Source organism: Homo sapiens, chromosome 8, assembly GCF_000001405.40.
Source record: "Homo sapiens chromosome 8, GRCh38.p14 Primary Assembly".
Classification (NCBI taxonomy): domain Eukaryota; kingdom Metazoa; phylum Chordata; class Mammalia; order Primates; family Hominidae; genus Homo; species Homo sapiens.
In genome coordinates, this window is record NC_000008.11 from 8,813,937 (window position 1) to 8,832,994 (window position 19,058).

The window sequence follows — 19,058 nt, forward strand, 5'->3', positions numbered from 1 at the left end:
ATCTTTTTTTTTTTTTTTTTGAGACAGAGTATTGCTCTGTTGCCCATGCTGGAGTGCAGGGGCATGATCTCGGTCACTGCAACCTTCACCTCCCAGGTTCAAGCGATTCTTGTTCCCCAGCCTCCCAAGTAGCTGGGATTACAGGTGTGTGCCACCACGCCCAGCTAATTTTTGTATTTTTAGTAGAGACAGGGTTTCGCCATGTTGGCCAGGCTGGCCTCGAACTCCTGACCTCAAGTGATCTGCCCACCTCAGCCTCCCACAGTGCTGGAATTACAGGCATGAGCCAGCATGCCTGGTCACCATTTTTTATCTTTATACTGTATTTTGATTGTACCTTTTCTAAGGTTAGATGCACAAATACTTACCATCGTTGTTACAATGGTCACAATATTCAGTACAGTCACATGCTGTACAGGTTTGTAGCCCAAGAGCAATAGGCTAGACCCTACAGCCTGGGTGTGTAGTAGGCTAGACCATCTAGGTTTGTGTAAGTGCACTCTGTCATGTTCGCACGATGACACAAGCGCCCAAGGGTGCGTTTCTCAGAACATATGCAAATTGTTAAGCAAGGAATGACTGCAATTTCTTTATTTAAATGGTAAGCCTGTCATGAAAGTTAAAAAAGTTAAGCTCTTCCAAAAATGCTGAATGAAAAGACAAGTCACAGACTGGGAGAAAATATTTGCAAAGTATGTATCTGATAAAAGACCTATGTGCCAAATATGTAAAGAACTCTGAAAACTTAAGAAAATAAATAAAATAATTTTTTTAAATGGGTAAAGTTCTAACAGGCACCAAAGAAGGTAAACCGATGGTAAATAGGAGCATGAAAAGACACTCAACGTGATGCATATTGGGGAGCTGTAAATGAAAACCACATGAGATACTACTTCATGCCTGCTAGAATTTCTTTTTTTTTTTTTTTTTTCTTATTTTAGGTTCTGGGGTACATGTACAGGATGTGCAGGTTTGTTACATGGGTAAACGTGTGCCATGGGAGTTTGCTGCATAGATCAACCCATCACCTAGGTATTAAGCCCAGCATCCATTAGCTATTCTTCTCAATGCCCTCCCTTTCTCACCGCCCCCCACACAGGCCCCAGTGTGTGTTGTTTCCCTCCCTGTGTCCATGGGTTCTCATTGTTCAGCTCCCACTTATGAGTGACAACATGCGGTGTTTGGTTTTCTGTTCCTGTGTTAGTTTGCTGAGGATGATGGGTTCCAGCTCCAACCATGTCCCTGCAAAGGACATGATCTTGTTCCTTTTTATGGCTGCATTGTATTCCATGGTGTATATGTACCACATTTTCTTTATCCAGTCTATCATTGATGGGCATTTGGGTTGATTCCACGTCTTTGTTATTGTGAATAGTGCTGCGATGAACATACACATGCATGTATCTTTATAACAGAATGATTTATATTCCTTTAAGTATATACCCAGTAATGGAATTGCTGGGTCAAACGGTATTTCTGGTTCTAGGTCTTTGAGGAATTGCCACACTGTCTTCCACAATGGTTGAACTAATTCGCACTCCCACCAACAGTGTAAAAGCATTCCTATTTCTCCACAGCTTCGCCAGCATCTGTTGCTTCTTGACTTTTTAATAATTGCCATTCTGACTGGTGTGAGATGGTATCTCATTGTGGTTTTGATTCACATTTTTCTAATGACCAGTGATGTTGAGCTTTTTTTCATATGTTTGTTGCATGCCTACTAGAATTTATAAAATGAAAAACACTCAGCATAATCAATTGTTGCTGAGGATGTGGGGGAACTGGAACTCTCCTACACTGTGGGTGGCATTTCTTGAAAAGTTGAAACATACACCTACCATGTTACCCAGCTATGCCGCTCCTAGATATTTACTCAACAGACAACAAAGCATATATCCATACAAAGACTTGTAGCAGCTTCATCTGAAGTAGTCAAAAAGTAGAAACTCCCTCATTTGAAGGAATACAAGTGTCCGTTAAAAGGTCGGCACATAAACAAATTGTGGCATATTCGTACAATAGACTACTATCTAGGAAGGAAAAGGAATGAGCCATGGATATATACGCCAACATCGATGACCTGGGAATAACTATGTTGAGTAAAACAAGCCAGACCAAAAACAGAGTGCATAGTGGATGAGTCCATTATACAAAATTCTAGACAATGCAAGCTAAGCTGGAGTGACAGGAAGCAGATCAGTGGCTGCTGGGGGTGAGGATGGGAGCCAGGAAGGAATGGAAGTGAGCAAGGAGTGAGGGTGATGGACATACTCATGATGGGGTCTGGGGTGACGATTTTATGGGTGTATGTATATATCAAAATCTATCAAATTGGACCCTCAACTATGCATTTTTCTGTGTGCAAGTTATATCTCAATTACAAACAAACAAAAACACAAAACCCTATGGTTAACCCAAAACCTAAACTATCACCAAGAAATATCAATTGGGGTTATGGCATGACCATCCTCCCCAAGAAAATAAAATGCTTGACAGATTCTGAGCGGGACAAATTTCACTGATCATATCCCATGAGTTTCATGCTAAAGAATCAGGGAATCTCATAGATCAAATGCACACACAGGCAGAAATGCCATATAAGCGTGCATCGTTCTGTGAAATATTTATGATTATTTCATTTGTGCCTTACTGTATTGTTGGTAAAAGAAAAAAAGTATATTCTATGAGATGAAATTCAAGCTGAAGCTCTACGCAAACATGTAGAAAGTTCTCATATTAATAATACTAGATGCTATCTAATAATAATTGGTAGATGACACTACCTACCAATGGTTATTATATCAGTAGGTCAAAGTAGTTAAACATAGTTGATGGTTATAAACTTTGAAGGAGTAGCAATAACATGGAAACACACCTACTGACTGAAGGACCCACATGTAAGAGCTGACATTTAGGGAAAGGTAAGCCAAGGTTAACATACTCTTACCCATCTCTAATCAACTAAAGACATATATAAGCGTGGCTTCTTTCTCCTCTTCTTCTTCAGCCTCAGGAAATGACTCCCTACCTGTTTACAAGGTTCAGAGAACTGTAACTTAAAAGTGAGACACGAGCTTTAGTTCATCCAACACTATCCCCCTCGAAATGTCAAAGAGACACCAAGGCTAAGGGTAATTAGAGATCAGGACACTGGCTGCTTTCAGTATAGAAGCACACAGCAATCTAGTGGCAGACTCCGAAAACTAGCTCCAAAGAGCACCATCCTCTCTCCATCTAAACTGGATATTACATCACTTCTGATAAAATGAGTAACCACCATAATAATCTCTGTCAGCTATGAGAAAATTTACCCTGGCTTCTATGAAAGGAAAAAAAAAAAGCACTTGATTTCTTGAGCTGAGAAATTACATTAAATTACCTCCAAGCTCTTTGTTAATTGACGTCCATTTGTATCAGAGGTAATTCGCTTAATAAAGCCATTTGAAATAAAAAGTATGGGCAGTTGCCAACCTACACATACTTGACTTTCAAAAATAATAAATGGCCTCATTCCTCCTCACAGTGCTCTCTCTGAGGCTTTCAACAATTCCACCTAAGAGGCCACCTATTGCCCTGTATCCTTGGCCACAGCCCCAGCCTTGCTGCAGCCTCGAGTGCTGCCGCAGTGCCCCTGGACTCCATCCCAGCCCGCAGATGGGGGGGCTCTCGCCCCTCCTGTTCTCCTTGCTGTGGCTCTAACCCAGCAGTCCCCAACCTGTTTGGCACTAGAAACCAGTTTCGTGGAAGATGATTTTTCCAGGGATGGCGGAGGAGGGGGATGGTTTCTGGATGAAGCTGTTCCACTTCAGATCATTAGGCATTAGATTCTCATAAGGAGTGCACGGATCCCTAGCATGCAGAATTCACAATAGAGTTCAAGCTCCTATGAGAACCTAATGTAATGCTGCCGCTGATCGGACAGGAGGCAGAGCTCAGGCAGAAATGTGAGCTACGGGGAGCAGCTATAAACACAGATGAAACTGCTCACTCCTGCCCTGCAGCCCAGTTCCTAACAGCCCATGAACTGGTACTGGTCTGTGGCCCGGGGACTGAGGACCCCTGCTCTAGCCCGTATCTATACATACATTCTCACCTATGCATCCCATTATGGACTAAGAACACCAAGAAATCATGGCCACCCATACGTCATACTCTTTCAGAATGTTCTAAGTTAGGTGGGCTTTGTGGGTCCACCTTGAAACCTGACCAGCTTTCAGAGCGTCATACTTCGGGGCTGGCTCTTCTCCTTTAAAGTCAGTAGACTCAGAAGAGTTTCTGGAACACAGCCCTTTGTGGTTGAAGACAATCCACATAATCCAACAGTAAATTTTCTCTGCACACCCTACAACCTTATTAAAAGTGACTTCTTAAGTACAAGCAAAGTCATACATCACAGGTCAACCTCAGGTGAAACTGGTCTTCCACCTAGTTCCTGGTTCATGCATCCCCAGATCCTTCACAAAGCAAGAGCTACAGAGATTTCTATTTTTCTACGAGGAAGAGAAGGAGAAGGACTGTAAAAAGCTAGAGTACTTTCATGAAGTCTGAAAGGTGACTCTGCCATTTATCCACTGGATAACCCTGTGGAACTGACTTAGCCTCCTGAGCCTCATTTTTCTCATCTGTGCTCTGTGGATAGTAAATGCCAAATATGGACCTTATAGGAACACTACAAGAATTAAACAATACTTGCAACTGACTTAACCCTAGGCTTGGCACATAATAGCAACTCACTCAATGTTGACTTCCTTCCTCACATCCTTGTTACCCTGAAATATAAAAACCAAAGTTTGGGCAAAAATATCTTCTAGAAAGAGAGGTGTCTATGAGAGAAGCAACTGCAAGGGCCCTGACTTTCCTACTTCCTTCTCTAAAGTCCCTGTCGCTATCATTATATTTCATCCCACTTCCAATGCAGACCTTGTTCTATAAAGAATATCTAGCACTTTCACATGTTTCTGAAGGAAGTGTATTATTTGTAGCCCCTTTTTGGAGAAAAATTATTCTGCTTCAAGGTATTTATTCTACGGATATACTAACATGTGTCAAAGAATACAATCTCGAGTCTTTAGTGTTGTTTCTGGAGTAAAATATTGAAAATAATCAAAATGCTCATCAATAGAAGGCTGGCTAAATAAAGTCGGCTTATATAATGGAATATCACGTGGCCAGTAAAAAAGAATCAAACAGCTCTCTATATATCAATATTTTGCAGTGTATATATTAAACTTTTAAAAAGCATACAAAACACTGTTTCTATTCTACTACCATTTTGGGGTGGGAGACTTTCTCTCCCTACTCATTATATACATGCAAATATATATATTATAAACAAATCTCTAGATTTTTTAAACCATAGAGCATTTCTTTAAGAATATCCAAGAATTGGCCGGGTGCGGTGGCTCACGCCTGTAATCCCAGCACTTTGGGAGGCCGAGGTGGGCGGATCACGAGGTCAGGAGATCGAGACCATCCTGGCTAACAGGGTGAAACCCCATCTCTACTAAAAACACAAAAAATTAGCCGGGCATGGTGGCGGGTGCCTGCAGTCCCAGCTACTCGGGAGGCTGAGGCAGGAGAATGGCGTGAATCGGGAGGCGGAGCTTGCAGTGAGCCAAGATCACGCCACTGCACTCCAGCCTAGGCGACAGAGCAAGACTCCAACTCAAAACAAAAAAAAAAAAAAAAAAGAATATCCAAGAATCTGGCCAAAGTGGCTGCCTCCAGAAAGGGAAATACATGGCTGTGGACAGAACAGACAACTTCCTTTTCCCCAAAGAGCCTTTTGTACCTTTTGAGTCACCCAGGCTGGAGTGTGGTGGTATGATCACAGCTCATTGCAGCCTCAGCCTCCCAGGCTCAAGCAATCCTTCTGCCTCAGCCTCCCGAGTTTCTGAGACCACAGGTGCGCACCACCATGCCCAGCTGACTTTTTCTATTTTTGATAGAGACGGGGTCTTTACATTACCCAGGCTGGTCTCAAACTCCTGAGTTCAAACTATCCTCCCGCCTCGGCCTCCCAAAGTGTTGGGACTGCAGGCATGAGCCACCACACCCAGTCTATACAGACTATCTATGAAACACAAAACTTAAAATAAACAATCCCAGTGTAAATTTAGTTTTTGTTCTGATTTTTCCCCCAGAACAGCTCTCTCACATTTAAAAAGTCTTTCTCTAAATTTATTTAATTACAAAAATTAACAGTGCTGGTTTGAATAAGGAAATAAATATAAAGATGTGCAAAGAAAAGAATATAATCCTTTCCCTTACTCCCCCTTCCCAAGTCCCCAGAGTTAGACTGCTATGCTCCCCCTTCCCAAGTCCCCAGGGTTGGGACTGCTGTGCTCCCCCTTCTCAAGTCCCCAGGATTAGACTGCTGTGTGCCCTTCCCTACACCTTTTTCCAAAAGCGCATGCACACATCAGGAATTTTTTGTGTTGATTTCTTTTCTTCCAAGCAGAATCAAGCCATAAGCATAACTGCAACATTCTCTTCTTTCATCTGACAGTCAGGTTAGCGTGAGAATGGTATTTGGTCCCAATTCCTTTATTCACTTGATCTCAATGTCTTTCTCTTCCCCACCCTGCCCCTCCACCCGTGCTCACCCAAACAATTTTACGTAAGTAGACTAATATCATGAATTTTTTTTTCATGGAATCCCCCATTGCCTAATCAATCTCCTTGCATCCCCTTGAGGAAATGAGGCTACACGTCCATGTTCCCATCCTGTGGTCTTTCAGAGGCCCTCTCACTTGGGGCTGGCTCCCGCTCTGAGATTATCTCTAGTCAGGATGGGAAAAACTCCAGGGGTGCCCCGGGAAAATCTCTAGCCGTCTGGCCAGGCAGTTAAAGGTGGCCTTGACCAAGTGCGAAGCATGATTCCAGGCCAAAGCTGTGCTGCCATTTGCATCGTGGAATTAAATGATCTAAGTGGAGAGCCACTGGATGCTTTGAACAAACCCACATCACACATTTAATGAAGAAAAAATAGCAGCAGTGAGAGAGAGAAGCTCTCAAGCAAGACCTGGCAATGCTTCTAATTTCACTGTCCTTCCTACCCCTCTTCCTTTAAAAGCCAACAGAGATGACAGCCTACGTGAGTCAGCACAGGGAAGTGGGGAGGCCTCTGGGTCTCAGTTCCACATATCTTCCCCCTGCCTGTTCCCAGGGGTCTGCAGGTCCAACGGCCACTCCCTGCGAGTCCTTGGGTGTCAGAGGGAGCAGCTGCCAGGTGGAAACGGAATGAACTGCCTGCCTGAACTGCCTGCCGGGGGATTAGCAGCTTCTGTGCAAAGCTTACAGGATGCCTCTAAGGCCCCTGTGGCAGGAGGTCAAAGAATCTTAACAAGGAGGTGGGAAGTGGAAATAGAAGGTCACTTACTACTAAGCCTATTTCCACCCTGCATTTTTGGTTCTTGGATTTCATCACGCCGAATTTTACAGAATGCAAGTAAGTATGTACAAAGATCGAAGATCGGCATGGAGAATAGCATGAAGCAGTAACCTCCCTCCCAAATTTGCTTACAACTCTTATGTCCATACAAAGTTGTTATTAATGCCACAGGTTATGAAAATACCAGTCAATCATCACTGATTAATCACACTTTGATTTATGCCAGAACTTCACATTTTCTTAAAAGGTGGGGGGTGCTTTTTAAATATCGCACAAAAAAGCCAGCAGTGTTTAAATCTTCCTTTGATGTTGCTACACAGACTTGATGTATATTAAATCCTCCTCTGCCTCCAAGCATGCAAAGATGTTAGCAGATACTACGCAGGTTTTCCATCAAGGTTTTAATAAAATCCTATTGCTATCAAACCTAGTCTAGGTGCCTAATAGTAACTTTTCCAACTATGTGCAAAAGACAGCTGGGTTTAGTCACCGTAGGAGCATGTGGACATCTGAGGAAATCACTGATTAACTGTGGATAAGCCCGCGTCAAAAGGAGAACAGCGCAGCGCTGGCTTTGGGGTCTGGCTCCAGCTCTGCCATCTCCTAGCAGCGGGTCGCTCGACAAATGGCTCTGACAGCTCTAGGCCTGAGTGCACACGTCTAAGGGCAAGGTCACCGCATGCCTCGTAAGACTGTGGTGAAGCCTGCACGAGATGCTATACGCAAGTGTGTAGCATGAGGCCTTGAGACCCTGGCCACACACAAGACGAGGACTCTCCACCCGGCCACGGGCAGCCAATTCCTCTGTGCGGCAGCACCAGGCAGGCTGAGAGGAGCTGAAGCAGGCAGATCAGACAGCTCCCTGGGGATTTGAAATTGGGGTGAGAGATAGAATTAGTCTGTGGTGGGGGACTGAAGCCAAGAGAGGCTGGGGCGGTCATTTGCATCGTGCGCAGCTGCAGAGCAAGCTGGTCTGAGGGGAGAGGAAAATGGAGCGAGTCCTCAGGGAGAGGGTGAGATGGCACTGAGACGTGACCATGCCTGATGCAGAGGGACAGAGATGGGGGCAGGGGATGGAGCGGGAGACAGGGGACCACGCCAGGGGCACTGAGATGGGGACAGGGACCAAGTCAGGGGGGATTGAGATGGAGACAGGGACCCAAGTCAGGGGGACTGAGATGGGGACAGGGATCACGTCAGGGGGATTGAGATGGAGACAGTGACCCAAGTCAGGGGGCCTGAGGTGAGGACAGGGACCAAATCAGGGGGAATGAGATGGAGACAGGGACCCAAGTCAGGGGGACTGAGATGGAGACAGGGACCCAAGTCAGGGGGACTGAGACGGGGACAGGGACCAAGTCAGGGGGACTGAGATGGGGGCAGGGACCAAGTCAGGGAGACTGAGATGAGGACAGGGAACCAAGTCAGGGGGACTGAGATGGTGACAGGGAACCAAGCCAGGGGGATTTAGAAGGGGACAGGGACCAAGTCAGGGGGACTGACACAGGGACAGGAACCAAGTCAGGGGGACTGAGACGGGCACAGGGACCAAGTCAGGGAAACTGAGAAGGGGTTGGAATGACTGAAAACCAGAAAATCAGGACAGGAGGTACCGACAGGCTGGTGGCGGGAAGGGAGGGTAACAGAGCCAGGCATGGGATCCCGCACAGAGGACACAGACAGAAGACCGGGAAGGAGAGACAGAGGGACACAGGACAGTCTCGAATTCTAGTCCATACAGAGATTCTCTTCCCCATCCTTGGAATCTGGGGATAGCTCTCCTCCTGCCAGAATCCTGACTTTCCTTTCAAATTAGCTCAAGAGCTCTGACTAGAACACAGTAACTACAAACGGTTTTTCTCAGGGGTATCCATTTTTCTCATTAACTGTAAATGTTTATTTGCAAGTTACTATGTGGCTCTAACAAATTATTATAAAAACAGCTTCTGAAGCCTTGCTTTCAGATGAATAATGTTTCTCTCTGTATCCAGAGAAATGTACTGTGAAGGCCCGGTGGGCATCGCTGCCAGAACAAAAAGAGTAAGGAGCTGGACACGGGGCCCCGCGCTCCGATCCTGGTGCTGCGCTAACTCCCTGCAAGTTCCCGAAACACCGTGAGTCCTCTGGGCCTCGTCCCTTCTACTGCAAAAGGAAGAGACTGAACTGGTTTATCTCTAGGGTCTCTTCGAGCTTTAAATAGTCTGTTCCAGCTTAAAATACTGTAAAAATATATTTTCTACTTAATTTTCTAGGCTTCATAAAACTCCTCACAAATTTAGCATGAAGTAGAACAATCGCCTAAATAGGGCACACAAACATGTCCTTGGTTCTCCCAGGCCACCACTTCCCTAATTCTCCCGTCTTCAGTCTTTGACACAGGTAATGAACCCACAGGTCACCGAGAAGAGCATCACCTGCGAAATTTCAAGACCCACGGTGGCTGTGCTCCATCTCTGATGTAGCACAGAAGATAGTGGGGGCTGAGAAAAGAAAGAATCTCGCCTCTCAGAGATGTGCCTGTCTCCATGCGCTTCAAAGATCTTAGCCACGTCGTGCATAATGTATGAGTGAGCGCTCACAGAAAAGGCCTGTTACGCAGTTCTCTATCACAGCAGATTTCCCTACAGGGAAGAAAACAACGGGAAATCATATAAAAATAGGAGAGATTTAATTTTGTGCTTAAATAAACATGCTTTTCATTCCCTACTTAGCAAAAACAGTTCCCCCTAGGAGCTCAGGCTACCTGCCTGTGAGGCAGAACTAAATCTATGCATCCGTACAGCTCTTTTGTCTGACACCTGACCAGTGGGGTCCTCTATGCTCCCTTGAGAAGAAGCCAGTAAACAGACAGGCAAACTCCATAAATAAGGCCACCTTCTCAGGGGCTCTGCGGGGAGCAGGATGCCTGGAGGCCAATCTCTCCTCACCTTCCATCATCTAAGCATCTCACATCTTGCATCTTCTTAAGCATCTTAAGAAATACAGGACTGCCTCCCTCCAAGCACACAGGGTACCCCGGAGTCCTTACCCACTCCAGCACAGGAAAACCAGCCCTCATTTAGCCTCAGAAAAGATCCAGTCTCCCTTAAATGGCCTGGAACACTGCAGGCCATTTCAGAGTCTTCTGGCTCAGATGCAGTGCTAGGGTGAGGGCTTAAAGGGCAATGAAAGTCTTTCTCTTTCTCTCTCTTTCACACACACACACACACACACACACACACACACACACACACACACACCCCTTTCTGCTCCATCAGAAGAAGAAAATGATTCTTGCCAATATCTATAAGAAGGTCACTCATGTAACATAAGATCCTGCCCTCAAATCTCACCAGCTGAAGAGATATAGATCATCTCTAAAAGATAAACCATTTGTAGTCCAGATGGGTTTAGCGGTCAGAAGCCAGGCAAGGAATCTAGAGTGAGACAGGGTATCCATCAATTCTGAAGTTCAAGGAAAGAAAATAGATTAGAGAACAGGTAAGCAAGTTGGAGGCAAGGCCCCAAGGAACCCAGGAAGGAGGTGTGCACAGCGATCGCACCCTGGAGGAAGGCTGCGCTGGCCTCACGGGAACAGATTTGCTTCTTCCAGTCAGATGCGCTTCTCTGCCCCCAGGCCACGTTTAGCATTTGCAGGTTCCCAGGCTAGACTCCTAGGGGACCTGCTTTCACCAAGGAAGGGAATAGAGGCAGTAGCTAAGTCAGTGCAATCTCATGCTGTCCTAGAGATTCTGCAAAATGCAGAGCTCCCCTCACAAAGTGTAAAGGGACAGAAGACTGCATCAGCTTGCTAAGGCTATCATAACACAGGACTACAGGCTGGAGAACTTAAAGAAAAGGGTTGCGGTTTTTTTGTTTTTTGAGATGGAGTCTCCCTCTATTGCCCAGGCTGGAGTACAGTGGCGCAATCTCTGCTCACTGCAACCTCCGCCTCCCGGGTTCAAGGAATTCTCCGGCGTCAGCCTCCAGAATAGCTAGGATTACAGGTGTGCGTCACCACACTCAGCTAATTTTTGTGTTTGTAGCAGAGACAGAGTTTCACCATGTTGGCCAGGCTGGTGTCAAACTCCTGATCTCAAGTGATCCATCTGCCTCAGCCTCCCAAAGTGCTGGGATTATGGGTGTGAGCCACCATGCCCAGCCTAAGAACAGGTATTTATTTTCTCAAATTCTGGAGTCTGGAAGTCCAAGATCAAGGTGCTGGCAGGGTTGGTTTCTTCTGAGGCCTCTCTCCTCTGCTTGCAGGTGGCTGCCTTCTCCCGGTGTCTTCACGTGGCCTTCCCTCTGAGGATGTTTGGGTACAAATTTCCTCTTCTTGTAAGAACCCCAGTCCTACTGGATTAGGGCCCAACCTAATGACCTCATTGAACCATAATTACCTCTTTAAAGACCCTAACTCCAAATACTACCTTCTGGAGATTAAGATTTCCAAATATGAATTTTAGAGGGAACACAATTCAGCCATAACAAAGGCTAAGTAAGAACCTGTTTAAAATCCTGGATGTCTTTTCTTGCTAAAGGAGCTGACTCTTAGTTCTCTCCTTCAGCTCCTGGAGATTGTGTAATTAACTGGAGGAGGCTCAGAGGTAGAAGGAGCCTAAGATACTATCTATTCTAGCCTCTCATTTTGCAGTTGAGGCTGAAGTTCACAGAGGTTAAATGACCTGGTTCTGAGTAACTGGTTGGACAGCTGTACCCAAGAGGTTCTGATAATGGATAGTTGTCAGCTTCCTATCAACTTCCTTCCTTTAAAGTTAACACATATTCATTGTTTTTTTAAAAAATTTGCAGGAAAGAACACTATAAAGTGAAAAATAAATGTCCACCTTCCTCCTGACGGCCAGTCTATTCCACAGAGGTAACTACTGTTACCCATTTCTCAGGCGCCTTCCAGAAATACTGCATGCAAACACAAAGAGTGTGTGTGTGTGTGTGTGTGTGTGTGTGTCGCACACTGCTGCCTACCCAATATCCCTTCTCCTCTTCTTCCATATTCACAGAACTCTGGATTGTGTGTCAGGGAAGAACACGTGCCTAATCAAAATTTTTGCCTTGACAGATTCCCTGAAGGTCTGGGTAGCCATGGGATAGTTCTAGCCAATGAAATGTAAGCAGAAGTTGGGCCAGGCATGGTGGCTCACGCCTGTAATCCCAGCACTTTGAGAGACCCAGGAGGGTAGATCACTTAAGGTCACGAGTTCAAGACCTGCCTGGCCAACACGGCGAAACCTCATCTCTACTAAAAATACAAAAATTAGCCGAGCGTGGTGGCGGGCGCCTGTAGTCCCAGCTACTCGGGAGGCTGAGGCAGGACAATCGCTTGAACCCAGAAGGTGGAGGCTGCAGTGAGCTGAGATCACGCCACTGCACTCCAGCCTGGGTGACAGAGTGAGGCTCCATCTCAAAAAAGAGCTGGTTGGACATTTCTGGAAATATTTTGGGTTTTCCGATTCCAACTTCTTACCTTCCTCCTTACATCTTTTTTCCATCAGAAATGCAGATGTGAGGTCCGGTACAGTGCAGCCATCTTGCTGCCATAAGGAAACACACCCACATAATTAGTACCGCAGAGGAGAAAGATGGCATCTGAGGCAGGGATGGCATAGTGAGACCCTGTCCCAACCCTGCACTGCTGACATATGAAGATGTCTTGTTGTACAAGGTAAATACATTCCCTTCATTTTTGTTAATTTATAGCTAATATCTTCCTTACTGATATCCCGTATATCTTTTTAATTTTTAACACAACATCCTCCTATGCATAGTGATTTGCTTTTCCATTTAGTATCCTGAACCTTTCCTAGTTAGTACGTAGAGAATTGTGCCATTTTTAACACTACACAATATTTTGCTGGACACCTACAGATGGTCATATAAGCTACCTCTATTTTTTGCTAGTATAAATGCTATTATTACAAATATCTGCGTAGTTATTTTTGTGTACATGCTGGAAAACATTTACAGGGTCATTAGTGGAATGACTGAGTCTAAGAATACGAACCTTTTAAATTCTAGTCTAAGGATATTGTAGAAATGCCCTTCAACAGCACTGGTCAACTCAATATGTCTGTTTTCTCATCCTTTCACCAGCAAGGTGGGTATTATCAGACTTAGCCACATCCAATTTCACAGATGAAAACAATGAGACCTCTTTATTTTCCTTTGCATTTTTAAACAAAGTGAAGTTTACTATGTTTTCACAAGCTCACTTCTAGCAATGAACATTGGTTTAACTATTCCATTTTTCATTTTTCCTATTGACTTCTAAGACTTCTTTCCATGTGAAAGGAATTAGCTCTGACACATAGGCTGCAAATATTTTTCTCCAATATATTACTTGTTTTTTGACCACATTTATGGAATTTTTGCCCAACAGAACTTTAAATTTTCCTCATGAAATTTTTCTTTTAGGAAAGTTAGCCTTTTTCTTTACAGCTTCTGTGTTTTGTGACACGCTTTGGGGGGAAAAAAGTCTTCTGTCTACATTCCAAGATATATTTAAAATTTACTCATGTTTCGTCTAATAATTTTTATGAGTTCATTATTTAAGTCTAAATCTTTCAGACAATTTAATTTCTTTTTTTTTAAGAGACTTTCTTTGTTATGTAGTTTATTTTTATCTAAGGAATGTTGGAGGGACCCCAGCTCCCTTTTTTTTCTAACAGCTCTTCAGCTGTCCTAAACCACATTTATTGATGAATTTACTTCCCCCGGTGATTAGGAATGCCACCTTTTCCCAATCTGGAGGCACAGTGTGAAGCAGCCTACATCTGCCAGGACTCTGACATATGCCCTACCTTCGAGAATGTTTCAGTGAATGATGCTGATGCAAATATACAAGGGAACTCGTCAATCATTTGTGTCGCTTACAACCAAGAGAATAAATTAACAGGATGAAACCAGAGATTAAAAAACATCTCAAAAGCATGGAGCAACAGGAACTGTTTAACAAGATAATGTCTAATAGGATATAGTTTGAACTTACACTTAGGTGCGGTGAAATCAAAGCCATCAAATACAGAAGAGAAATAGTGGGGAGGCAGAACACATGCCAAGGCCTCCTTGGGACACTGCCAGTAGCTCTGACCTAGGGCAGTCTGAAGCTGCAGTGTTCTCAGATGGCCTTCAAAGACGCAGGGCCATACTGTATCTTAGGCCGTCTTCACAGAAAGAAGGTAACAGCCCGGGCCCTAGTCCACATTGCTCACACCATTACCTAGAGCCTGCAATTCAGTTTCAGACACGACCAGTTAAGGGGAATATCAACTAGACCACTCCACGGAGGAAAAACGCAAAAGCTAAGGGCATTTAAAACAATATCACATGAAGAAGGAATAACTGGAGATGCCCACTGCCCACTAAGCAGTGACACTCTGTAATGCGGGCAAGGCCCACGCCACCTTTATCTGTGCAGTCCTCACGGCGTGCATAGCCTGGAAAGAGCTGGCCCCTAATGAATAAGCATTGAGCAAAAGTGGAGAACTGAGGGGACAGGATTTGCTGCTTTAGATTTATGAGGTAGATTCCTTAGAGACTAGTGGCCGAGCTCTTATCCCGCCCCTAGCTCAGTCCTTCATGTCTTTCCTTTAGATCAGGCTCTGTCAATCTGCTAAGAGCACCCCTGCCTCCCTCTTCCGGCCCGTTACTGCAGCCAGCAGCCTTCTTCCTACAATGCAAATCTATTCTCCCCAGCCTCTCACATTCAAGTGAACTCCTTGGACACTGCAGAATGGGCCCTTTGTGATCCAGCCCCCTGCCCACTTTCCCAGCTCCTTGCTACTTTAACATAAGGAAATCAAACTTTTCAGGGACCCCAATACGTCACCTCTCATGCCTCTGCTAAGCTCTTCTCTGGGTGCGGAGCGCCCTCCCAGAACCCCTTCCCCATCCTGAGTCTGGCAGATTCCAACTCAGTATGTGTACCGGGCTGCACCCCCACCTGGAGGTCCTCTCCAGCACCCTTCTCCGTGCAGCTCAGCACCCTGGACATCATCTTCTTCACTGCCTTTCTCACACTGTGCTCTAGTTCATTCATGGACATCTCTATTTCTATATCAGATCGTGAGATCTGTCCAGCGCCATGGCCCATGCCTGTAATCAGAGCACGTTGGGAGGCCTAGGTGGGTAGATCACTTGAGGTCAGGAGTTCAAGACCAGCCTGGCCAACATGGTGAAACCCCATCTCTACTAAAAATACAAAAATTAGCCAAGCAAGGTGGCAGGCACCTGTAATCCCAGCTACTGAGGAGGCTGAGGCAGGAGAATCGCTTGAACCCAGTAGGTGGAGGTTGCAGTGAGCCGAGATCACGCCACTGCACTTCAGCCTGGGCGAAAGAGTGAGACTCTGTCTCAAACCAACAAACAAAAGATTGCGAGATCTTTGAGAAAGGAGATTGCGTGGGGTATCCTCAGTGCCTGACACAATGGCAGGACCAATGGATGACAGCAAGTTAAACTAGAAGGGAGGGGAAGACACATTTCAGATAAATACAAAAAAGAGACTTGAACAGAACTGTCCACAAATGGAACAGATTGCCTCACGTGAGGTCACGTTCAGAGGTGCCCAGAGGCCAGATGGTCTGCTGGGAAGACCATACAGAAGATTCTTCACTGTTCAACTAGAACAGTGCTTCTCAGCCTTGCTTTAGAGTGTGCCTGCTTCGGCAGGTCTGGGGTGTGGCCTGGGATTCTGCATTCCTAATATTCTCCCAGGGGAGGTCGAAGCTGCTAGTCCAGGGACCACATTTGAAATGCCCGGGACTAGATGACCTCTAATTTCTCTCCAATCCTGGGATCTGTCCCAGGACACATATATGAGGTGGCCCCACACCTCTGGCGTGGGGAGCCATTAACTAAGGAGAAAGCATGGCTTCGAGTTCTGTGTCAGGAAACACCAAGCAAAAGGCTCAAGGAAGAAATGACTGTAAAAACTCCTAAAATAAACTAGAGTCTGGTTCTATCTATATCAGGATTTTCCTGAAGCATTTTAACTAAAAGAAGACTAAGTTATTATTAAGTGTCAGCCACCGTTTTCATCAAACGATTTGGCTTTCAGTATTGTTTTTGTTCAGCTATTTTAAAACCTGAATCAGGGCAGAGAATACAAGTAAAAGAGAAAATCACTCATAATCCATCTAAAATTACAGGTTATTAAATTTAAATAGGACATTAGTGGGGGCTATTCTAGAGTTCTCTGGACCAATTTTCTAATTTTACAGGAAAGGAAACATGTACCCAAGGTCACCAAAGTTGGCCCTAAAGCAAGGAATCCTATCCTATATATTTCTTTTTGAGATGGATTCTTGCTCTTTCTTCTAGGCTGCAGTGCAGTGGTGTGATCTTGGCTCAGTGCAACCTCCGCCACCCGGTTTCAAGTAATTCACATGCCTCAGCCTCCCGAGTAGCTGGGATTACAGCACCACCATGCCCGGCTAATTTTTGTATTTTTAGTAGAGGCGGAGTTTTGCCATGTTGGCAGGCTGGTCTCAAACTCCTGACCTCAGGTGATCCGCCCACCTCGGCCTCCCAAAGTGCTGGGATTACAGGCATGAGCCACCGTGCCCAGCCAATATTCTCAGTATACTTTCCCTTCCTTTAAAGTCAGCTTGCTCTTTGTCTTAGTCTGCTCAGGTTGCTATACCAAAATACTACGGATTGGGTAGTTTAAACTACAGAAATGTAGTTTCTCACAGTCCAGAGGCTGGGAGGTCCAAGATCAGGGTGCCTGCATGGTTGGTGTCTGGTGAGGGCCTCTCCCTAGCTTGTAGAATGCTGCCTTCTTGTTATGTCCTCACATGGCAGAGAGAGACACAGTGGGCTCTCGGGGGTCTCTTCCAATAAGGACACTAACCCCACTGAATCAGCAACCACCCTCATGATCTCATTTAACCTTAAAACCTCCTTATAGACTCTATCTCCAATATACATTGGGGGTTGGGGCTTCAACATATAATTTGGGAGTCACAAATCAGTCCCAAGCAATGCCAACTTTGAAAAATGATACTCTTACTTCATTTTTCCAATATGAGTAGAATAATGCATTTGATAAAAGTTTGATCGAATAAATCCAACTTAAAAATACACCTTCTTGTCTACAGCCATACTACCTGATCTGGAAAGCTAAGCAGGGTCGGGCCTCGTTAGTACTTGGATGGGAAAAATACATCTCCACAATCACCTGATTTCAAAACGTACCACAAAGCTACAAGAATCAGGGTAATGTGAACAGACATATAGATCAATAGAACAGAATAGAGTTCAGAAATAGACAAACACATAAATGGTCAATTTTTTTTTTTTTTTTTGAGACAGTCTCACTCGGTCGCCCAGGCTGGAGTGGTGCAATCTCAGCTCACTGCAACCTCCGCCTCCCAGGTTCAAGCGATTCTTGTGCCTCAGCCTCCTGAGTAGCTGGGATTACAGGCATGCGCCACCACACCCATCTAACTTTTATATTTTTAGTAGAGACGGGTTTCACCATGTTAGCCATGCTAGTCTCAAACTCTTGACCTCACGTGATCCGTCTGCCTGCCTCAGCCTCCCAAAGTGCTGGGATTACAGGTGTGAGCTACCGCCCCCAGCCGTCAATTGATTTTTGACAAGAGCCCAGGCAATTTAAAGGAGAAAGAATAGCTTTTTTCAGCAAATGGTGCTAAAACAACTGGATATCTGTATGGAAAAGAAAATAAACCTCAATCCTTACTTCAAGGCGCACATGCACGCGCGCGCGCGCGCACACACACACACACACACACACACACGCACCAAAGTAACTTGAAATAGATCCTAGACCTAAATGCAAAAGCCAAAATCACAAACTTCTAGGTGAAGGTCTTCTTAACCTTGAGAGGGACAGAAAGAAAGAAAAAAAAAAGTACTAACCAGAAGACTTCGACAAATTGAAATGTTGAACTCTTGCTCTTCAAAAGACACTTGAAGAAAATGAAAAAGCAAGCCACCCACTGGGAGAACATGTTTGTAATACATACATCTGGCAAAGGACTTGTTTCTAGAATATATTTAAAAACTCATACAGCTCAATGATAAGACGACAAGCAACCCTATTAAAAATGGGCAAAAATTAGAACAAGATACTTCACACACACACACACACACACACACACACAGAGCCAGTAACCACAGAAATGGCACAATGAGCAAAGATGCTCATCATTAGCTATCAGAAACACAAACAGAAACCTTACGAAGATACACAACATAACCACTAGAATGCCTGCAATTAAAATGACTGACAATACCAAGTACTGATGAACATGTGATGCAACCAGAATTTTTTTCTTTTTTTTTTTTTTTTTTCAAGACAGAGTCTCTCTCTGTTGCCCAGGCTGGAGTGTGGTGGCTCAATCATAGCTGACGGCCACCTTGAACTCCTAGGCTCAAGCGTTCCTCCCACTTCAGCCTCCTGACTCGCCGAGACTACAGGCACATGCCATTACTACATGCTAAGTTTTCACTTTTAATTTTTTGTCGAGGCGAGGTCTCTTTTAGTTGCCCAGGCTAAGAATTTTTACAAACTATTGGTCGAATTGTGTAGTAGCCCATTCTTACACTGCTATAAAGAAATACTTGAGACCGGGTAATTTATAAAGAAAAGAGGCTTAATTGGCTCACAGTTCTGCAGGCTGTACAAAAAGCACGGAAGCAT

At 44.8% G+C, this 19,058-nt stretch overlaps 1 protein-coding gene across 2 annotated transcripts in view, besides 1 other annotated feature; it reads right to left on the minus strand.

The window, feature by feature from the left end:
- Positions 1 to 19,058, minus strand: part of MFHAS1 (multifunctional ROCO family signaling regulator 1) — a 110,277-nt gene that overhangs the window by 30,583 nt on the left and 60,636 nt on the right. The gene's annotated exons all lie outside the window — the stretch shown is intronic.
- Positions 7,773 to 8,315: an enhancer, noted in NCBI's record as "H3K27ac-H3K4me1 hESC enhancer chr8:8679219-8679761 (GRCh37/hg19 assembly coordinates)". NCBI's record gives its function as "activates a minimal SCP1, AML or CMV promoter by ChIP-STARR-seq in naive H9 embryonic stem cells {active_cell/tissue: H9 hESC(naive)}" and the evidence as "EXISTENCE:reporter gene assay evidence [ECO:0000049][PMID:30033119]".